We start from the raw sequence: 22,234 nt of genomic DNA, 5'->3' as shown, positions 1-22,234 counted from the left end.
CAGTGGTGCATGTACTATGTACTCAATAAATAATTGTTCAACAAGTAGAAACAATTAAACAATTATTTTCATCAGATATGGTAATGAAAATAATTGCTTCATGCACGTTGTTCATCATTTCATTCCAGAGGCAACCTCTAAGGTGATTAATAAAACTGATTTGTTAATGAGATGAATTCAACACAGCTGTGGGATATTTGACAAGCTATTTCATCTCTCCATGACTTCAGTTTCCTCATCTGTTAATGGGGGAAATTATAGCATTGATATATATATTTAACACAGTAAGTGTTACCTAAACGTTTGCTAAAGAAAGATAGTCAACAAACAACACCAAGTCTCTCCTATAGGCGAGATCCCATATATTATTAGCCTCATAGATTTATAAAACCTGTTCACAGTGCATTTATTTTCAAATGCTGTTGCTTACGGTTTCACTATCTCTGTATATAGGGGCCATTAAAATTAGTATTCCATTTGCACTACAACAAATATATAAACTATCACCCAAATCACAGTTTTCCTATTTGATAAATTTTCAGTGCATCATGAAAATATTTTGGATATCATCATATGTAGTAGAAATTTAAATATCCCTGATTTGGGGCCATAGATTAAAAGCCTACAGTTGGTTGTCTTGGTTGTCATCCTTTCCAGAGTAAGTGTTATAAATCTTCACACTTTTTCCATAAAAATCTTGTCAAGAGAAGACATTAAAAATTCCTAGATTTGAATTCCAGACTTCCTCCTAACTGCCATGCAATGGCTGTCACTTGTTCAATGCCTATAAGTAAGAATGTGGGCCTGTGTGCAAAATTTGTAAGGATTAAATATAAAATCTTACTTTTATAATTAGCATGATTGATAGTTGATCTCTCTGGCCTAAAATGTCTACTCCCATTTAATCCTGAAAATAAAGGCCAAGGAGTTTACTGGACATCAGGACATCAAGCAGTATGACTTTTTTCATCACTAGTCATGCTCTAGATTTAACTTCCTAGAAGACAGAATTCAACTGGCCCAGCTTAACTGGCTCATGCTGCTTGAGACACCCTGACTGACACTCTCATCAAAATAACACAGAATGTGGGAAGTAGTTCCCTAAAGGAATAACAGCATTATTACCAAAAGAAAGAGACCAGAATGCTTGGTATTGAAATTAAAAATGCCATTAAACTCAGAAGACTTCAGTCCACTCAGAAAAACTCAGAGAGTACAAAAAAAAAAAAAAAAAAAGAGGAAAAGAAAATGCTAGTACATGTCATAGGACAGCAAGATGAACTTCGATGTAAATGACCAAAAAAAAAGCTAAGTCTGGCAATAAGCAGAGAAATGTTCTCCTAGAAAGGAGTAAATTCTAGCCAGCACATTTCTATTTTATCAGCTACATACTATTGCCAATTATGTGCTTCTGGAATAAAAACATAGCTTTAATAGAATCTTTGTTAATGAGCAGGTATAGAAAACTTGGAAAGAACCGGTGAACTTATGCTAATCTATTGTTAAAAGGCCCCCAAAGTTTATATATTTTTATTCTTTTAATTTTTATTTTTGAGACAGAGTTTTGCTCTGTCACCCAGGCTGGAGTGCAGTGGCGCAATCTCGGCTCCCTGCAACCTCCACCACCCAGGTTCAAGCGATTCTCCTGCTTCGGCCTCCAGACTAGGTGGGACTACAGGTGGGCACCACCAAGCCCAGCTAATTTTTGTATTTTTAGTAGACACGGGATTTCACCATGTTAGCCATGCTGGTCTTGAACTCCTAACCTCAAGTCGTCTGCCTGCCGAGGACTTCCAAAGTGCTGGGATTACAGATGTGAGCCACCGTGCCTGGCCCCAAAGTTCATATATATATATATTTTTTTTTAAAAAAAAAGACTGTCCAAGACTACATGGAATATTATAAAATAATCCATTATAATTAAGTATGGAAACTCCTTCTTCCACACTGAAAAACAAATAGGTTACAGCAAATATTGTTAATGATTTTATGTAATATACATGTTTCTATTCTAAGTAAAAAATAATATGGGTTTAGCAAATACCAACTTTGGCTCCAACATCAACTTTGCAGAAATTCTGGTTCCAAACATAATTACCTGCACAAACTTCCACTAAAAGAATAATCATTCGAAACCTTTAAGTTATGATGTCCTGTTTTATCTGATGATAACTTGCAGGGTTTTCTGTTTTATATTTTGGCTCATAAAACATCTTAAAAAATGGACAACGTTTTTAAAAATAAAAGCTCACGCCTGTAATCCCAGCACTTTAGGAGGCCGAGGCGGGTGGATCACGAGGTCAGGAGATGGAGACCACCCTGGCTAACACGGTGAAACTCCGTCTCTACTAAAAATACAAAAAAATTAGCTGGGCATGGTGGCGGGCACCTGTAGTCCCAGCTACTCGGGAGGCTGAGGCAGGAGAATGGCATAAACCTGGGAGGCGGAGCTTGCAGTGAGCCGAGATCACACCACTGCACTCCAGCCTGGGCGACAACTAAGACTCTGTCTCAAAAAAATAAAATAAGATAAAATAAATAAAACTCAGATTTTCACAGTCTAAATTGTAATCATTTAATGAGAATCTAATTTTATCTTTTAAAGTGTTGATGATACATTAACATCTGGAAATGTTTAAATATATAGTATGTTTAACACAGGGCCAGGACTAGGGTGAGGCAAGCCAAGTACCTAGGTCATATATAAGATAACCTATATAAAGATGTATTATTTGGTACTGCAATGATTATGTTAACTGATACTCAATAAGCTTACTCAAATTGAGGAACCACAAAATAAACCATATAGTTTATTCCAAATAGTAAGGAAGGTAAATTTTATGTTATATGTATTTTACCATAATTAGAGATTAAAAAAGGAAAAATGAGGAAAATCACTATCATAACTTACAATTAATTCAAAGTGATATATAAGATTAAGTTTGTTAGTGATGAAGCTAAAAGGTACTGCAACATTATAAAATAAGCAAAAGAATCATACAATAATGTTAGAGTTGGAAGTAACCTTAAATATTATTTAATGTATCCATTTTATACTACAAATAAGCAAGTAAAGCACATAGTTAACATCTAGAATTTGACATTGCTGACCAGTAGCTCCTCAAAATTCTAAGCATTTTTTGCTTTCATGAACTCTCTGGTTTCTCCTCCTCCATTTCTGATCACTAACATAATTTTCTTCAAGGACATTCTCTCTTCTACTAACAACTTTTAAAACGGTATTCCCTTGGCCCATTGCTCTTTCAACTGTACATACTTTCTTGAATGACCCATTCTCCTGGTTTGAAAACCATCTGCAGATAACTCCTAAAATTATATCTCTTCTCTTAACCTGTTTTTTAAACTCCAGATGTAAATATCTAATACATACCTGGATGTCTCACATACATTTCAAATACATGTGTAAATTCAAAATCCCTATTTGCCCCTAACCTGGAAAAGCTACTTCATTTAATAGCATCACTACCACCCAAACACCAAAACAAGAATCTAGAAGATCTCTTAGACTCTGTTCCTTGATTCCCCAAATCAATTAATTACTAAGTCCTGCTGATTTTATCTTAAGTCTCTGAGGAATCACTGTCTACTTGGCTTATTGCCTAGTGGTTTGAAATCTTTGTGTTATATATTTCAATAATTTTTTGGTTATTTCAGGCAGTGAAATAAATCTTATTCCTGTTATTTAATCCTGGCCAGAGAAGGACATTCTCCAGTATATCCTACATTGTGGAATATTGATGTACCTACTTGTTTATCGATAGTGCAAAGATTTCTGATATTACTTGGAATCTTAAATTGGAATATTTTCCCAGAGTTGTCAAATAATCATGTAATCCAATACTATCTTTCATGTTCCCTATTACAGAACTACTCAAAATGATATCAATAAAAGGATAATTATACCACATTATTCAATCATTAGATAAGAGGGAATGAGGTTATTTTTAATATAACTACTTCTATTATCATGAAATAGCATTTAGATCTATAGTAAACTTTAAACAACTAAATATTATTGGTAGCTATCATATTCTAAACCACACAATGGTGTCAACTAGATCTTCTACAAAGCAATAAATACTTACCTAGGATAATATCTAAATTCATCACAAACCAGGAAGTACATGCCCTAGGCATCCTTTCAATAAGTAACATTCCTCTTGACATTCCCATTTCTCTTCTTTCATCGTTAAGTTTTCTAAGGGGCTCCCTACAGTATACTCCATACCATGGCACTTAGCCTTTTCCCAGCTAGACCATGACAACTATTATGTCTCTTTTTTTTTCTCAGCATATAGCCCAACATATAACAAAAATTAAGTGCTGGATGTTACCACTGTACAAAGGGTACCTCTAAGGGAGAAGGACAGGTAAGTCAATGCAAGGAGTTATTAGGATATTCATTACAAGGAATCATGACAGCTGAGACTGGTGAAATATAGCTGATATCCCTAAAAGAGTCATAACTCTGCAAGCTAAGAGTTAATTACACAAGAACGACAAGCCATACTTTCTTCCCCCCATTCTTCTCTTAATTTTCTTATAAGAGGCATGCTCAGAAAAGAAACATGTAAAGGAATGCTAAAATCAAGATTATTGGCTCCTATATTAACTAGTATTTTTATGCACTGGAGATATTTTTGGATGAATTTCTAAAAAGTTTTTATGGCAGGTATGTATTTCTTATAGTGATTAATCAGACTACACTATAGCTATGCATAATGTGTCTGTATCTGTCTATATTAATTTTCTATGCTATATAAGAAATCACCACAAATGTAACAGCCTAAAACAACAGACATTTGTTGCAGTTTCTGTGGGTCAATAATCTTGGTATGGCTTAGTTAAATACTTGAATTATGGTCTCAAAAAGCCGCAATAAAAGTGTTGACCATCTGTGTTTTCATCCACAGGCTCACCTGGGAAAGAATACACTTCCAAACTCACTCTAGTTGCTCACAGAGACAATTTCCTCACATCTGTAGGACTAAGGGCTGGCTGGAGTGTAGGACAGACCAGGGACTTCATAAATATTTTCTGAATAAATTACTGAAATTTCATTTAACTGCTGAATTTTGATCTTAATCAAAACTCCTTTACTTTGTTAAGTGTCATATATTTTTTAATGTTAAATTTAACTAGGGCTGAGTGCAGTGGCTCACACCTGTAATCTCAGCATTTTGGGAGGACAAGACAGGCAGATCGCCTGAGGTCAGAAATTCTAGACCAGCCTGGCCAACATGGTGAAACCCCATCTCTACTAAAAATACAAAATAATTAGCTGGGCGTGGTGGTGGGCGCCTGTAATTCCAGCTACTGGGGAGGCTGAGGCAGAAGAATTGCTTGAACCTGGGAGGCGAAGGTGCAATGAGTTGAGATCGCATCACTGCACTCCAGCCTGGGCGACAGAGTAAGATTCTGTCCAAAAACAAAAAAGAAACAAACAAAAAGTTAACTGGAAAATGAAGAGGAAAGAAGCTAACAGCCAAAAGACTAAAACACACTAAAGCTTTCTCCTTGAATACTATTTTTTTCAATATTCAGTTGTTTTACAACTATTTATACTTTCTGATATACTTCATTACTTTCTGAAAAACCAAGATTCTGTTATAATTTCCTTTCAGCCTAAATAACTTCTATCAGAATATCTTGCAGTAAATTTCTATTAGAGAAAAGTTCTGTCTTTATGTATTTATTGGCCAACATTTTTATGAATACTTTGCTGACTAGAGAATTCTATGTTAATTCTATGTTATGTGCTGATTTTCCTCAGCACATAAAAGTGTTATTCTATTGTCTTCTGGCCTCCATTGTTTCTAATAAGATGTAAGGAGTCATTCTTAATGTTTTTAATCTGTATATAACAGGCCTTTACTGTCTACCCACTTCTAAAATTTTCTCAAAAGGACAGTAACCAAAATGGGTGTGCTGGTAAGCCCTGGACACCTGGAGCTTAATTCTACTGAGGACACACTGACAGACAAGGAATGCCACAGAATCATTTCCCATGGTGGGTGAAGATAATCCCAGGGGTGTTATCTCCATCACTTCTTGTCTGCCTGCTGAAGGGCAGTGCAGCCTTCAGCTGCTTTAGAAAAAAGCTACAGCTACAGGAGAGAAAGATGGAATAGAGAAAGAAAACACAAGTGTTATTGAGTACCCAAATGTTTCCTGATTCTTCTAGGGTTAGCTTAATTGACACGTATGTTCATGAAGCAGGATCATCACCATTATAGTCAAATTATTTTAAGTACAATCATTTAATGAATATCTCTCCTTGCCAAACTATGATCTTCATGAGGACAGGACTGCATTAGTTTTCTTCAGTATGTTCTCTGAATACAGTATGGTAACTTTTGCAAAATGAATCAATAAATGAATAAATTTTGTCAGTTGCTTTTATATACTTTATCACTCTATATTTTCGACCCTCTTCATGAAGAAGATATTATAATCTCCAACTTGTGGATACAGAAACAAGAAAAAACTCTCCAATATTACATTGCTAAGAAATACATATCTAGGTCTGCCTTACTTATAATTTCAGCTTCTTCCAGTATAGTCTTCAGGTAAACAAGAATATTGATAAATAAAGATCTTCCCACTTTAAATAAAGTAAAATAAAATAAAACGTTCTCCGTAAGTTTTCAGTAGTTTGACTACTAGGTACTTAGCTATGTTTTCCTTTTTATATATTCTTCTTGGAGTTTTCTGAGATTGTTGAGTTTCAAAAAGTGAGTTGCTTGTCACTTTTTTGGATTTTAGCACCCTGCTGTTATGGTAATGTCAATTTAAGACCTCAGATCTCTATGGGCTTAATATAGCTGTAATTTTGCAGATCACAAAACCTTGTTCTCATAGTAAGGTGGGAACAAGGTTCTATTGCAACTTTTATATCTTAAGTCAAGGTGAAAAGCTTTGACTTAAGCCTTTGATATTACACTCTGGTACATACAAAATTCTATAAGGATGTCTCTGGTATCACAGAGAAAAAATCCTATGCAAAAACTAAAATTTATAACTGTTAGCTTATCAAATAAGCATCTAATTGTATATTTTAGTCAGGTTAAACATGATCTTGAAAGAAAGTAATTCAATAAGATAAAATTGTGCATTTTAAAGTAAAAATCAATGAGAGGAAAATAACAATAAGGAAATAGCTATTATAATTTTCATATTTAACTTATAATTATGTAGAAAAAATAATTAGATAACCCTTTCATGTTAATTTAATTCCAACTCAGACTTTATCTCAGTTCTGAGATAAGAATGGAACTATATGAACACTAAGAATTTAAAATTGTGAAAATAATGCTTAAACAAAAAGTAGAATGAACTAAAATTTTTTAAGTCAAGAAACATGTCAAAATGTGTAAATTTTTATAACTATAAGGAAGTTCATATGAGTTTCATAAAATTATGTTTAGGATAAGTGAAGTACACCAATTATTTTCAACTAAATTAAGAAAATGAGATGGTATACATAATTGTTACATGTGAGAAAAGTCTTACCAATATTAACAATGCTGGGAATTAAAAAGGATTATAGAAATTATATCCATAATATTTCTAACTTTTATTTTACCTGTAGTGTGAGATGCTTCACTGCATTCCAAACAATTCCAATAAATTCCTTCATTCTTTCTTCAGGACTTCTACAGCTTTCAGATATATTCAACATGGCTTTAACAGGAACTGACAATGGGCGGGATTCTGAGTACGAGAATAGCTAATTATTTAATAGAAACATAACTTACAATTTCACAGAACATACCAAACGTATTTTCAAGATTGTTTCTTTCCTTGCTTAAAATTATAATTTTTATATGAGATTATGAATTGTCATTTTACATCATTTTCTCTTATAGAACTGATTTTTGCAAGTATTCAAAAATAAGCAGGCCTAATTTGTTAGAAGTCAGGAGAGCATTCACCCTTGTCAGGGATTAGTGACTAGAAGGTAGACTTGTGAAGTGATAGTAACGTTCTATTTATTAATTACATGCAAGTATTCACTTTGTAAGAATTCATTAAGCAGTAACTTAACAACTTGTCCAATTTTCAGTATAAAGGCAATACATCAATAAAATCTTTTCTTGGAAGAAAAAGAGAAATTCAACTAAAAAGCACTTGATTCATCCAAAATTGATAGAAAATTATCCTTCCCATATGTAAATGTTCCTGATAACAAAAACTTACCAATAAAATCTCTCAATTTTAAAAAGTGATTTTGGCCAGGCACGTTGGCTCACGCCTGTAATCCTAACACTTTGGGAGGCCGAGTCAGGCAGATCACTTGAGGTCAGGAGTTCAAGACAAGCCTGGCTAACATGGTGAAACCCCGTCTCTACTAAAACTACAAAAGTAGCCAGACATGGTGGCAGGCACCTGTAATCCCAGCTACTCGGGAGCCTGAGGCAGGGGAATCACTTGAACCCGGGAGGCAGAGGTTGCTGCAATGAGCTGAGATTGCGCCACTGCACTACAGCCTGGGCAACAGAGTGAGACACTGTCTCAACAACAACAAAAAAAAAGTTGGGGGGGGGGTGGATTTTGATGATAACCAAAAGAGGTATGTGATTACATAAAAGGAAGATTTCTTAATAAAATGAAATGTAATATTCCACTCCCTATATTATTTAAAATTTTGTTCTTCCAAGTAAAGAAATTAGAGGATTTCAACCATGTTTTCATAATGAAAGATTTCAGGAATTATTTTAAACAATTGAGTAATTTATAGTAATGTATTATAACTAAACAGTTTCATTTAAAACTGGATACATTTATATAATACAGCTTATGTTAATTCAAATACATAATTTATATGTAGTATTTTAGGTACTTATAAAGTAGCATAAAATAAATAAATCAGACCTAAATAAATTAAGTTTGAAGAACCTAGGATGCTCTCCAAAATAAGTAGTACCATATCACTACTATGAGAATGTGGTGATATATGACTAGTTGCCATATCCACTCATACTTCCCCTCTCCCCCTAACTTGGTTAATATATGAGCATTGATACCATATTTAAAATACCTTAAGGGCATGAAGAACGGACTTTTTCTTTCTCATAGTTATATTGTCATATATTATGACATTGTCAATATCAGAAATTGTAAATAAAGTTTATTAAAGCAAACCAGTTTGGAAGAGATCCATGCAGATCTCAGTGGGCAGAGCATTATAGTAGTCAGATGAAACAAAAACAACGAATGTCTGAAGTTAAAGGTATGCATGGGATTTTCAAGCAAAGTATGGAGGCAAAGATGGCTTCAGCAGAGTGAGCAAGGGTGAGAAAAGTAGGACATGAGGTTAGAGCTATATATAGGGACCAGGTCATACAGGGCTCATGTAGGTCATAGTAAGGAGATGGTTTTTACTTGAGGGAACTGGGACAGAATAACAGATTCTGAATATAGTCATGACATTGTTGAATATGTGTTTTGAAAGAACTTCTCTGGCTACTGTGCAAAACATTTACTACATGTATCCAGTGTTGAAAAAGGAAGACAGGTTGTAAGAGACAGCAGAAGCAACGAGGTGGCAAGAAGTGGTAAAATGCTGTATCCATTTCAAAGACATAACCAATAAGACTTACTGATGGATTAGATGTATAGTACAAGAGAAAGCAAAGATGATTCCAAGGTATTAGGACTGAGAGACTGGAAGAATGGAGCTGTAGGAAAAGCACATTTGAGAAGAAAGGAAACTTAGTTTGGGATGTCTTAAACTGAGATTTCCATTAGACATCCAAGTAAAGATATAAGGTGGCAAATAGATAAACGACTATAAAAAAATAGACAAGATAAGAATAGATTATTTACAGAAAAAAAGTTATTTGGCTAGTAACTTATTTTTAAAATGCTCAACATTGCTAACAAAGAAATAAAAATTAAGATATCAGATATCCTTTTCATCAGATATCCAACAATCAGACATACTTTTTCTTTTTTTTTTTTTTGGTTATTATACTTTAAGTTTTAGGGTACATGTGCACAACGTGCAGGTTTGTTACATATGTATATATGTGCCATGTTGGTGGGCTGCACCCATTAACTCTTCATTTAACATTAGGTATATCTCCAAATGCTATCCCTCCCCACTCCCCACACCCCACAACAGGCCCCGGTGTGTGATGTTCCCCTTCCTGTGTCCATGTGTTCTCATTGTTCAATTCCCACCTATGAGTGAGAATATGCTGTGTTTGGTTTTTTGTCCTTGCGTTAGTTTGCTGAGAATGATGGTTTCCAGCTTCATCCATGTCCCTACAAAGGACATGAACTCATCATTTTTTATGGCTGCATAGTATTCCATGGTGTATATGTGCCACATTTTCTTAATCCAGTCTATCATTGTTGGACATTTGGGTTGGTTCCAAGTCTTTGCTATTGTGAATAGTGCCGCAATAAACATACGTGTGCATGTGTCTTTATAGCAGCATGATTTATAATACTTTGGGCATATACCAAGTAATGGATGGCTGGGTCAAATGGTATTTCTAGTTCTTGATCCCTGAGGAATCACCACACTGACTTCCACAATGGTTGAACCAGTTTACACTCCCACCAACAGTGTAAAAGTGTTATTTCTCCACATCCTCTCCAGCACCTGTTGTTTCCTGACTTTTTAATGATCACCATTCTAACTGGTGTGAGATGGTATCTCACTGTGGTTTTGATTTGCATTTCTCTGATGGCCAGTGATGATGAGCATTTTTTCATGTGTCTTTTGGCTGCAAAAATGTCTTCTCTTGAGAAGTGTCTGCTCATATCCTTCGCCCACTTTTTGATGGGGTTGTTTTTTTCTTGTAAATTTGTTTGAGTTCATTGTAGATTCTGGATATTAGCCCTTTGTCAGATGGGTAGATTGCAAAAATTTTCTTCCATTCTATAGGTTGCCTGTTCACTCTGATGGTAGTTTCTTTTGCTGTGCAGAAGCTCTTTAGTTTAATTAGATCCCATTTGTCACTTTTGGCTTCTGTTGCCATTGCTTTTGGTGTTTTAGACATAAAGACCTTGCCCATGCCTATGTCCTGAATGGTACTGCCTAGGATTTCTTCTAGGGTTTTTATACTTTTAGGTCTAACATGTAAGTCTTTAATCCATCTTGAATTAATTTTTGTATAAGGTGTAAGGAAGGGATCCAGTTTCAGCTTTCTACATATGGCTAGCCAGTATTCCCAGCACCATTTATTAAATGGGGAATTGTTTCCCCATTTCTTGTTTTTGTCAGGTTTGTCAAAGATCAGATGGTTGTAGATACACTGCATTATTTCTGAGGGCTCTGTTCTGTTCCATTGCTCTATATCTCTGTTTTGGTACCAGTACCATGCTGTTTTGGTTACTGTAGCCTTGTAGTACCGTTTGAAGTCAGGTAGCCTGATACCTCCAGCTTTGTTCTTTTGGCTTAGGATTGACTTGGCAATGCGGGCTCTTTTTTGGTTCCATATGAACTTTAAAGTAGTTTTTTCCAATTCTGTGAAGAAAGTCATTGGTAGCTTGATGGGGATGGCATTGAATCTATAAATTACCTTGGGCAGTATGGCCATTTTCACGATTTTGATTCTTCCTACCCATGAGCATGGAATGTTCTTCCATTTGTTTGTATCCTCTTTTATTTCATTGAGCAGTGGTTTGTAGTTCTCCTTGAAGAGGTCCTTCACGTCCCTTGTAAGTTGGATTCCCAGGTATTTTATTCTCTTTGAAGCAATTGTGAATGGGAGTGCATTCAGGATTTGACTCTCTGTTTGTCTGTTATTGGTGTATAAGAATCCCCATCAAGCTACCAATGACTTTCTTCACAGAATTGGAAAAAACTACTTTAAAGTTCATATGGAACCAAAAAAGAGCCCGCATTGCCAAGTCAATCCTAAGCCAAAAGAACAAAGCTGGAGGCATCACACTACCTGACTTCAAACTATACTACAAGGCTACAGTAACCAAAACAGCATGGTACTGGTACCAAAACAGAGATATAGATCAATGGAACAGAACAGAGCCCTCAGAAATAATGCCGCATACCTACAACTATCTGATCTTTGACAAACCTGAGAAAAACAAGCAATGGGGAAAGGATTCCCTATTTAATAAATGGTGCTGGGAAAACTGGCTAGCCATATGTAGGAAGCTGAAACTGGATCCCTTCCTTACACCTTATACAAAAATCAATTCAAGATGGATTAAAGATTTAAACGTTAGACCTAAAACCATAAAAACCCTAGAAGAAAACCTAGGCATGACCATTCAGGACATAGGCATGGGCAAGGACTTCATGTCCAAAACACCAAAAGCAATGGCAACAAAAGCCAAAATTGACAAATGGGATCTAATTAAACTAAAGAGCTTCTGCACAGCAAAAGAAACTACCATCAGAGTGAACAGGCAACCTACAACATGGGAGAAAATTTTCGCAACCTACTCATCTGACAAAGGGCTAATATCCAGAATCTACAATGAACTCAAACAAATTTACAAGAAAAAAACAAACAACTCCATCAAAAAGTGGGCAAAGGACATGAACAGACACTTCTCAAAAGAAGACATTTATGCAGCCAAAAAACACATGAAAAAATGCTCATCATCACTGGCCATCAGAGAAATGCAAATCAAAACCACAATGAGATACCATCTCACACCAGTTAGAATGGCAATCATTAAAAAGTCAGGAAACAACAGGTGCTGGAGAGGATGTGGAGAAATAGGAACACTTTTACACTGTTGGTGGGACTGTAAACTAGTTCAACCATTGTGGAAGTCAGTGTGGCGATTCCTCAGGGATCTAGAACTAGAAATACCATTTGACCCAGCCATCCCATTACTGGGTATATACCCAAATGACTATAAATCATGCTGCTATAAAGACACATGCACACGTATGTTTATTGCGGCATTATTCACAATAGCAAAGACTTGGAACCAACCCAAATGTCCAACAATGATAGACTGGATTAAGAAAATGTGGCACATATACACCATGGAATACTATGCAGCCATAAAAAATGATGAGTTCATGTCCTTTGTAGGGACATGGATGAAATTGGAAATCATCATTCTCAGTAAACTATCGCAAGAACAAAAAACCAAACACAGGATATTCTCACTCATAGGTGGGAATTGAACAATGAGATCACATGGACACAGGAAGGGGAATATCACACTCTGGGGACTGTGGTGGGGTGGGGGGAGGGGGGGAGGGATAGCATTGGTAGATATACCTAATGCTAGATGACGAGTTAGTGGGTGCAGCGCACCAGCATGGCACATGTATACATATGTAACTAACCTGCACAATGTGCACAAGTACCCTAAAACTTAAAGTATAATAAAAAATTAAAAACAAAAAACAAAAAACAGAATGCTTGTGATTTTTGCACATTTATTTTGTATCCTGAGACTTTGCTGAAGTTGCCTATCAGCTTAAGGAGATTTTGGGCTGAGATGATGGGGTTTTCTAGATATCCAATCATGTCATCTGCAAACAGGGACAATTTGACTTCCTCTTTTCCTAATTGAATACCCTTTATTTCCTTCTCCTGCCTGATTGCCCAACACTATGTTGAACAGGAGTGGTGAGAGAGGGCATCCCTGTCTTGTGCCAGTTTTCAAAGGGAATGCTTCCAGTTTTTGCCCATTCAGTATGATATTGGCTGTGGGTTTGTCATAAATAGCTCTTATTATTTTGAGATACATCCCATGAATACCTAATTTATTGAGAGTTTTTAGTATGAAGGGCTGTTGAATTTTGTCAAAGGCCTTTTCTGCATCTATTGAGATAATCATGTGGTTTTTGTCTTTGGTTCTGTTTATATGCTGGATTATGTTTATTGACTTGCATATGTTGAACCAGCCTTGCATCCCAGGGATGAAGCCCACTTGATCATGGTGGATAAGCTTTGTGATGTGCTGCTGGATTTGGTTTGTCAGTATTTTATTGAGGATTTTTGCATCGATGTTCATCAGGGATATTGGTCTAAAATTCTCTTTTTTTGTTGGGTCTCTGCCAGGCTTTGGTATCAGGATGATGCTGGACTCACAAAATGAGTTAGGGAGGATTCCCTCTTTTTCTATTGATTGGAATAGTTTCAGAAGGAATGGTACCAGCTCATCCTTGTACCTCTCGTAGAATTTGGCTGTGAATCCACCTGGTCCTGGACTTTTTTTGGTTGGTAAGCTATTAATTATTGCCTCAATTTTAGAGCCTGTTATTGGTCTATTCAGAGATGCAACTTCTTCCTGGTTTAGACTTGGAAGGGTGTATGTGTTGAGGAATATATCCATTTCTTCTAGATTTTCTAGTTTATTTGCATAGAGGTGTTTATGGTATTCTCTGATGGTAGTGTGTATTTCTGTGGGATCGGTGGTGATACCCCTTTGTCATTTTTTATTGCGTCTATTTGATTCTTCTCTCTTTTCTTCTTCATTAGTCTTGCTTTGGTCTATCAATTTTGTTGATCTTTTCAAAAAACCAGCTCCTGGATTCATTGATTTTTTTGAAGCGTTTTGAAGGGAAATGTCTCTATTTCCTTCAATTCTGCTCTGATCTTAGTTATTTCTTGCCTTCTACTAGCTTTTGAATGTGTTTGCTCTTGCTTCTCTAGTTCTTTTAATTGTGATGTTAGGGTGTCAATTTTAGATCTTTCCTGCTTTCTCTTGTGAGCATTTAGTGCTATCAATTTCCCTGTACACACTGCTTTGAATGTGTCCCAGAGATTCTGGTATGTTGTGTCTTTGTTCTCGTTAATTTCAAAGAACATCTTTATTTCTGCCTTCATTTCATTATCTACCCAGTAATCATTCAGGAGCAGGTTGTTCAGTTTCCATGTAGTTGAGTGGTTTTGAGTGAGTTTCTTAATCCTGGGTTCTAGTTTGACTGGCTGGCAAATTGGATAAACAGTCAAGACCCATCAGTGTGCTGTATTCAGGAAACCCATCTCACGTGCAGAGACATACATAGGCTCAAAATAAAGGGATGGAGGAAGATCTACCAAGCAAATGGAAAACAAAAAAAAAAGCAGGGGTTGTAATCCTAGTCTCTGATAAAACAGACTTTAAACCAACAAAGATCAAAAGAGACAAAGAAGGCCATTACATAATGGTAAAGGGATCAATTCAACAATAAGAGCTAACTATCCTAAATATATATGCACCCAATACAGGAGCACACAGATTCATAAAGCAAGTCCTTAGAGACCTACAAAGAGACTTAGACTCCCACACAATAATAATGGGCGACTTAACACCCCACTGTCAACATTAGACAGATCAACGAGACAGAAAGTTAACAAAGCTATCCAGGAATTGAACTCAGCTGTGCACCAAGCGGACCTAATAAACATCTAAGGAACTCTCCACCCCAAATCAACGTATATGCATTCTTTTCAACACCACACCACACCTATTCCAAAACTGACCACATAGTTGGAAGTAAAGCACTCCTCAACAAATGTAAAAGGACAGAAATTATAACAAACTGTCTCTCAGACCACAGTGCAATCAAACCAGACATACTTTTCATCTGTTATACTGGAAACATGTTAAAGAGTTAAGTTGTATACCTATGAAATTTGTCATTGTTGAAGCCTCTTGTGAGAATGTTTTATATATGGGGAAAATAGGTATGCTCTATAGAATGGAACTGCAACAGAGGGCAATTTATATCTGCTACAAATTTAAACATGCCGGCCATGGTGGGTGGCTCACATCTATAATCCCAGCACTTTGGGAGGCTGAAGTGGGTGGATCACTGTAGGTCAGGAGTTCGAAACCAGCCTGGCTAACATGGTAAAACCACCTCTCTACTAAAAATACAAAAAAAAAAAAAAAATTAGCTAGATGTTGTGACACACACCTGTAATCCCAGCTACTCAGGTAGCTGAGGCAGGAGAATTGCTTAAGCTCAGGAGGTCAAGGCTGCAGTGAGTCAAGTTTGCCCCACTGCATTCCAGCCTGGGCAACAGAGTGAGACTGTTTCAAAAAAAAAAAAATTCACACATACTTTTTCTATAAAATAATCCGATTTCTAAGAATATGCTATGGAAATAGTAAAAGTTGTGAGGGTGCATGCAAACAATTTATAAAAGATATTCAGCATCAGTGGTAATTTCTGTAACAGCAAAAAAGAAAGAAAGGAAAGGAGAGAAGACGAGAGGAAAGAAAATGCTAAACAATTTATCTGTCCATCAAAAAAGAAACAGCTAATTTGGAAATATTTGCAATAAAGAGTATAATTAAACCATTTAAGGATGAGGTACAATTACAGGTATGACTAAAGGCATATTTTTGGTATCTTACGAAGTGAAAAAACTCAAACATATGTGTGGTATCATCCAAATATGTTTTTAAACAGTGTACTAAATTTGAATACGTATTTATCTTCCCACACATAGAAAAAGTTATAGAAGTGTAAAAACGTAAGCCTGTGAGAGAGTACCTCTGAGGAGGGAAAAATGGAAATGATGATGGGTAAGGAAGTGGTAAGTATTTAACTCTTTACTATATATGTTTCAGAATTGTTTTATAAAAATGAATTACTTATTGTATTTTTTAAAACATGTATATTAATTAACTTTGTACTTATTTGGACTTCTTGCTTTTCTTCTGTACATTAGTAATTATTAGAAGAAAATGGTTACCTAATATTACTGTATAGCTCTAGGAATCTAAATAATTAGCTTAAAATACAGACCAAATTTTAAAATTACTTGAAACCATGAATAGCAAAGGTTTGCACAAAAGCCTCACGGTCAAAATTTAAAAACCTACCGATGAAAAATATTAGTACTATATGAGTACTATTATTACCATTTGAAAATGAATCTATCTAATAAATGCTAATATTTCCAAGCAGTATGGGCACTATTAAACCACCGTCAAGCAATATTTCCAGTCGCCACTAACCAAAACAGCTACATGTTTTTTGTAAATACTATGTTCTCTGATATAATGATCTAATGAAAAAATTTAGAGACTTTGAAATCTACATGTGGCTTAAAAGTGTTGTTCAAATAGCTATGAAAAACATAATCAGTAAAAGTACACTATTTTGGATATACCAGTTTTCAATTCATTATATTTCTAAATGATGATAGTCAAGTTTGTAAAAAAGAAAAGACAATATTTTCTGCAGCTAGGGAAAGGCAAGACAGGTCTACTACATAAAACTCTGTCAAGCTTCACGCCCATCTATCTTATTTAATCAAAACCTCTATAGCACCTACTACAAGCCAGGCACTGCTGCAAGTGCTTTACAAATTTATTAACCTGTTTGTCCAGGCACGGTGGCTTACACCTGTAATCCCAGCACCTTGGGAGGCTGAGGCAGGCAAATTGCTTGAACCCAGGGGTTCAAGATCATCCTGGACAACATGGTAAAACCTTGTCTCTACCAAAAAATATTACAAAACTTAGCTGGGCATGGTGGTGCATGCCTGTAGTCCCAGTTGCTCGGGAGGCTGAGACAGGAGGATCTCTTCAGCCTGGGAGGTGGAGGTTGCAGTAAGCTGAGTTAATGGCACGGCACTCCAGCCTGGGTGATGGAGTCTCAAAAAATAATAATAATAATACCCTGTTTAGCCCTTGTAACAACCTGACAGGAAATATACTATTTTCAGACTCTTATTATCACCATTTTTAGATAGGGAAACTGATGACAAAGAGGTTAAGTAACTTATCCCAAGTCACCCAGCTAGTAAGTGGCAAAACAAGGATGTAAATCTAAGCAGACTGGTTCCAGGGTCCATCCTTGTAACCACTATGTTATGCTGCCTTTTCTATTATTCAATCCCCATACAATGACTCCTAGTTTTATCAAATGTACAACAAATGTATAAAATTTCTACTATGGATCATGGATAATAAATAGTTCAGAAAACATCAGATTTACTCATTCCCACTAGAGCTACATAAAGCCTAAATTTAACATCGCAATCTCATTTCAAATGTATCTATTACACTTTTAGTTTTCTACAATAAATAAATAATTTTCAGACCCAAATTTCAGTGGTTAAAATAACATATCAACAATTATATCTTGGGGATGAACCATTCAACTTGGTACAATATGATTCCTTCATTTCTGTCCCATGGAAAAAGTACTACACTTGGAGTCAGCTTGTGTTTTAGTTGTGCCACAAGACACATGATTAAGGAAAATGAATTTAATCTAAGTGTCAGGTTTCCGACTTCCACCTTAAAGTTAAAAATATGTGTAGTATCAAGAATACTACTCAATTTAAATGTTGTAATGTATACGAAAACAGTTTATGAAAATACTATAAATATAAGGAATAAAGATATAAAACTTAACTAATCATTGATTATGTAAAGAACCTGAAGACAACTATATCTGAAACACAACTGTACTCCTTTTCTATCAAAATCAACTCATTGTTTTAGTTCTACCTTAAATGTCATTTCCTCTGAGAAATGGTAACTGATTTCCCAAAAAGATTTGGTCCTTCTTCTAGAGCCTGGCAGAATTCTGACTTAATTCTGTATAACGTAACATTCTTCATGGTATAACTTTAAATATTTGAATGTGTGTCTCTCCAAAGGAGGAGCTGAGCATAGTGATATGGTGTAGCAAGAAAGAGTAGTGGCTAATGGCTAGACACTGAAGACACATTCTCTTTATGTCCTCTCTTACTCTTATTCTTCCAATGAGAAATAATCTTTATATACATATTTATTAACATGCCACCAATTAGATAGAATTGGATGAAAAATCATAAACGTAGAAATTCCAAGCCACAGCATTAAATTACTGTTTTGCATCTATATTTTAATCAATGATTTATACGAAAACATCTCTTTACCTTCTTCAAGTCGAACTGGAACCTGATAAAATTACTCAAAATCAGTACATCAAAATCTCTGTTCTTATTCTGGGAGACTGAATAATGATGTCAATGATTAAATGGTAACTCTAAATATCTAGTAACATGTATAAGCCAATGGCACCAAATACTGACACTTGATATCAAATGGCTTATATTCTGAAGTTTAAGATTCTCACAGTAACCACGTTACTTCATCATATCAAAAAGTCAAGATACATTTGTTCAGCTGTAATAATTCAGTTTTCATAGTAAGCACTTCTTAGAATTAAGCCCTTTCTGTTCTAGGTTTTCATCATCTGCTAAGTAAAAGCCTTAAAGAAAGAAGTGCTTTCACTAAAGTAGGTTAGGTTTAGTACTTAAATCAATAAAGAAGGATGACTTCTAATAGGATACTTACTTTAAAATTTTCCCTTTAAACATAAAACTTGCAACCATCAACTTATGTTTATGGACTTTATTCAGTACAGTGCTGACACCAACAGAGTGTTTGTTTTGCTGAAAGGAGAATTCATGTTTCTTTTATCTATTTATTTCATGTAGCAGTAGTATAATGCCTTGCATAGTAAATACTCGATCAAACAATCAATTGATATCTTTTAAAATAGAGAACAAATCATATGTGTACCTTCTTAAAACCTTTTCTATCAGCATATTATTTGATATTCTGTATCACCTTTGTGTAAGGTACCTATTTATAATTTGTGGTTTCATTTTTATTTGAAATTTTAATAGTCATCAAGAAGAAAATCATTGTCAATTTTTATTTTTCCTTTCTGTTCATGGGAAATCAAACTGATAGCCAAGCCAGTATTATACTAGGGGGCAACTGCCTTAACCACAGTTCAATTACCTAAAAGATAAAAATATAAAAATTAAAAACCTCTAGAAAATAAGCCTTGCAAACTCAGATCATAGATCATAATGGAGAGGCAGCATTTTTTAAAGAGTCAAAGGCAGACAGAGAAGATGACTATGAAAAATAACCCATAAGGGAAATTGTGTTAGTCTGTTTTCACACTGCTATAAAGAACTAACTGAGACTGGGTAATTTATAAAGACAAGAGGTTTAATTGACTCACAGTTCCACAGGATTAACAGGAAGCATGACTAGGAGGCCTCAGGAAAACAATCATGGTGGAAGGTGAAGGGGAAGCAAGGACCTTCTTCACATGGTGGCAGGAAAGAGATAGGGAGTGAGGAAGTGCCACAAACTTTTAAACCATCAGATTTCTTGAGAACTCTACCAGGAGACAGCACTAGGGGGATGTTGTTAAACCTTTAGAAACTACCCCCATGATCTAATCACTGCCCACCAGTCCCCACCTTCAACACGTGGGGATTACAATTCCACATGAGATTTGGGTGAAGACACATAGCCAGACCATATCAGAAGTCAAGGTTCCCTGAGATAATGAGAAAAAAGTGGCAAGGCCTTTGCGAGAGAAATGGTTCAGTAGGACCTGAAGGAAGATGACAGAGTTATTTATTTACAAGTTTGCAGAAAGCTTAAGACTAACTGGTGAACACCAAGCCATCTAGAAGAGCGCAAGCTCTAGATTTCTAGGCAATAATTTGAAGGAAGAAGGATAAATTCCTCAGAAGAGAAACCAGGCCTTGACAAAAGAGTGATACACACTATCACATTTCGTCATCCTTTATTCCGAAAATTTCATGAAAAACTAAGATAAAGTGTTATTAGCCATGCATGGTGGCACACACCTGCAATCCCAGCTACTCTGGAGGCTGAGGCAGGAGAACCACTTGAACCTGGGAGGTGGAGATTGCAGTGAGCTGAGATGGGACCAATGCACTCCAGCCTGGGTTACAGAGCAAAAATCCATGTCAAAAAAATGAAAGAAAAGAAAAGAAAAGAAAAGAAAGAGAAAGAAAGAAAGGAAAGAAAGAAAGAAAGAAAGAAAGAAAGAAAGAAAGAAAGAAAGAAAGAAAGAAAGAAAACTATGATAAAGTGTTAACTGTTCATATATCTATTGCTATATGGTATAGTTTTTAAAATACAATATATCTATTGCTATATGGTATAGTTTTTAAAATACTTTTATTAGATAAATAATATGGGCTAATAGGAGAAAAATCAGAAAATGTAGCTCACCAAAAAATAAGAAGAAAAGAAGAAAGGAGGGAGGGATGGAAAATTAAACTATCCCCTAATTTCAACATGTCAAAAAACATCATTCAAAAACTACTTATGGAGTACCTATTATCTTCTTAAGGCTTAGATTAAGAACTGGAAATTCTGTGGTGAGCAAAACAAACACAATCCCAGTCCTCATGAAGCTTATGCTTATTTGAAGAAGCTTTGAGATTTAAAATAGAAACAAAAAATCAAAAAACTCTTTGTGACAGAATTTCAGATACCAGTGAGATTAATATATTTAAATAAAAGTTTCCTGAAAGCATGGACTGGGAGGACTCAGAAAACCTAGGTTTCTTTTTTTATTCTACCAATTCAAGATATGTGATCTTAAAATCACGTCAACTATTTAGGTTTGTTTCTCCTCCATAATTTGCAGGATATAAACAATACAGTCTACCTAGATCTCAATGGAAAGTCATGGGGCAAGGCAGGAATTCTGAAATCTGTCAAGAAAAAAAAACAAGAAACAAAGTAAGGTAAGGGGAATAAAGAGGAGAAAAGAAGTAGAGAGATAATGAGAAAGTGAGTGAGAAAGAGTGAGCACACTGATTAACACTGTCTTGTTATAAATAGCAAAGTAAAGATATGAATGTCTCTAGAATTCAATGTTCAAGTTATATATAGATTACCAAATTAATCCACTGAGACCATTAAAATTCCTTTCTCCTGGCCTAAATTCCAAAACAAATCACATAGACAACAACAAAAAATTTGAACAGGGGAGTAAATGAGCTAAAGCACTTCCAGATAGCATATCATGAGATGTTTAAGAAGCAGTAAGAATTTTTAGGTTGAGAGAGGTAGTTTTTTGCTTATATCTGCAACAGGCTGTCACTGTTTTCCAATATTTTATACTCAGAACTAAGATTCATTAAGAAGAACAAATTATTCAAAGTGTGACTATAAAGCAATAAAGCTGATTTTTATGTAGAATTATGAAATTGGTGTCAATATTTTATGTTCGCCTTTCAATAGCACCCTTCCCACTCTTTGGCTTTTATCATTATTTATAAGGAGTCGGGGAGAAACTAAATATAATCCAGGGAGCTTATAAAAATATAAATTAAAATACTTTGGTTAATCAGATTGCTACTAGAATTTGAATGTTCACATCTACGCTTTTTTGGAAAGAAAAAGGAGAAAAAATGGCCAGAAAGGAAGGAAAAGTAGAAAGTAATTTTGTTCATCCTCAACTACAAATCTTATTAAATGTCCATTT

At 35.3% G+C, this 22,234-nt stretch overlaps 1 protein-coding gene across 2 annotated transcripts in view; it reads right to left on the bottom strand.

The window, feature by feature from the left end:
* The window catches only part of VPS13B (vacuolar protein sorting 13 homolog B), an 864,307-nt gene that overhangs the window by 438,310 nt on the left and 403,763 nt on the right, over window positions 1-22,234 (bottom strand). For both annotated transcript variants that reach the window (NM_152564.5, NM_017890.5), the window contains exon 22: window positions 7,607-7,734. In NM_152564.5, the coding sequence (NP_689777.3) occupies window positions 7,607-7,734 (128 nt within the window). The remainder of the gene's footprint in view (window positions 1-7,606; window positions 7,735-22,234) is intronic.

Source organism: Homo sapiens, chromosome 8 (genome assembly GCF_000001405.40).
Source record: "Homo sapiens chromosome 8, GRCh38.p14 Primary Assembly".
In the NCBI taxonomy this organism is placed as follows: domain Eukaryota; kingdom Metazoa; phylum Chordata; class Mammalia; order Primates; family Hominidae; genus Homo; species Homo sapiens.
This window is presented reverse-complemented; position numbering and strand designations above follow the sequence as displayed.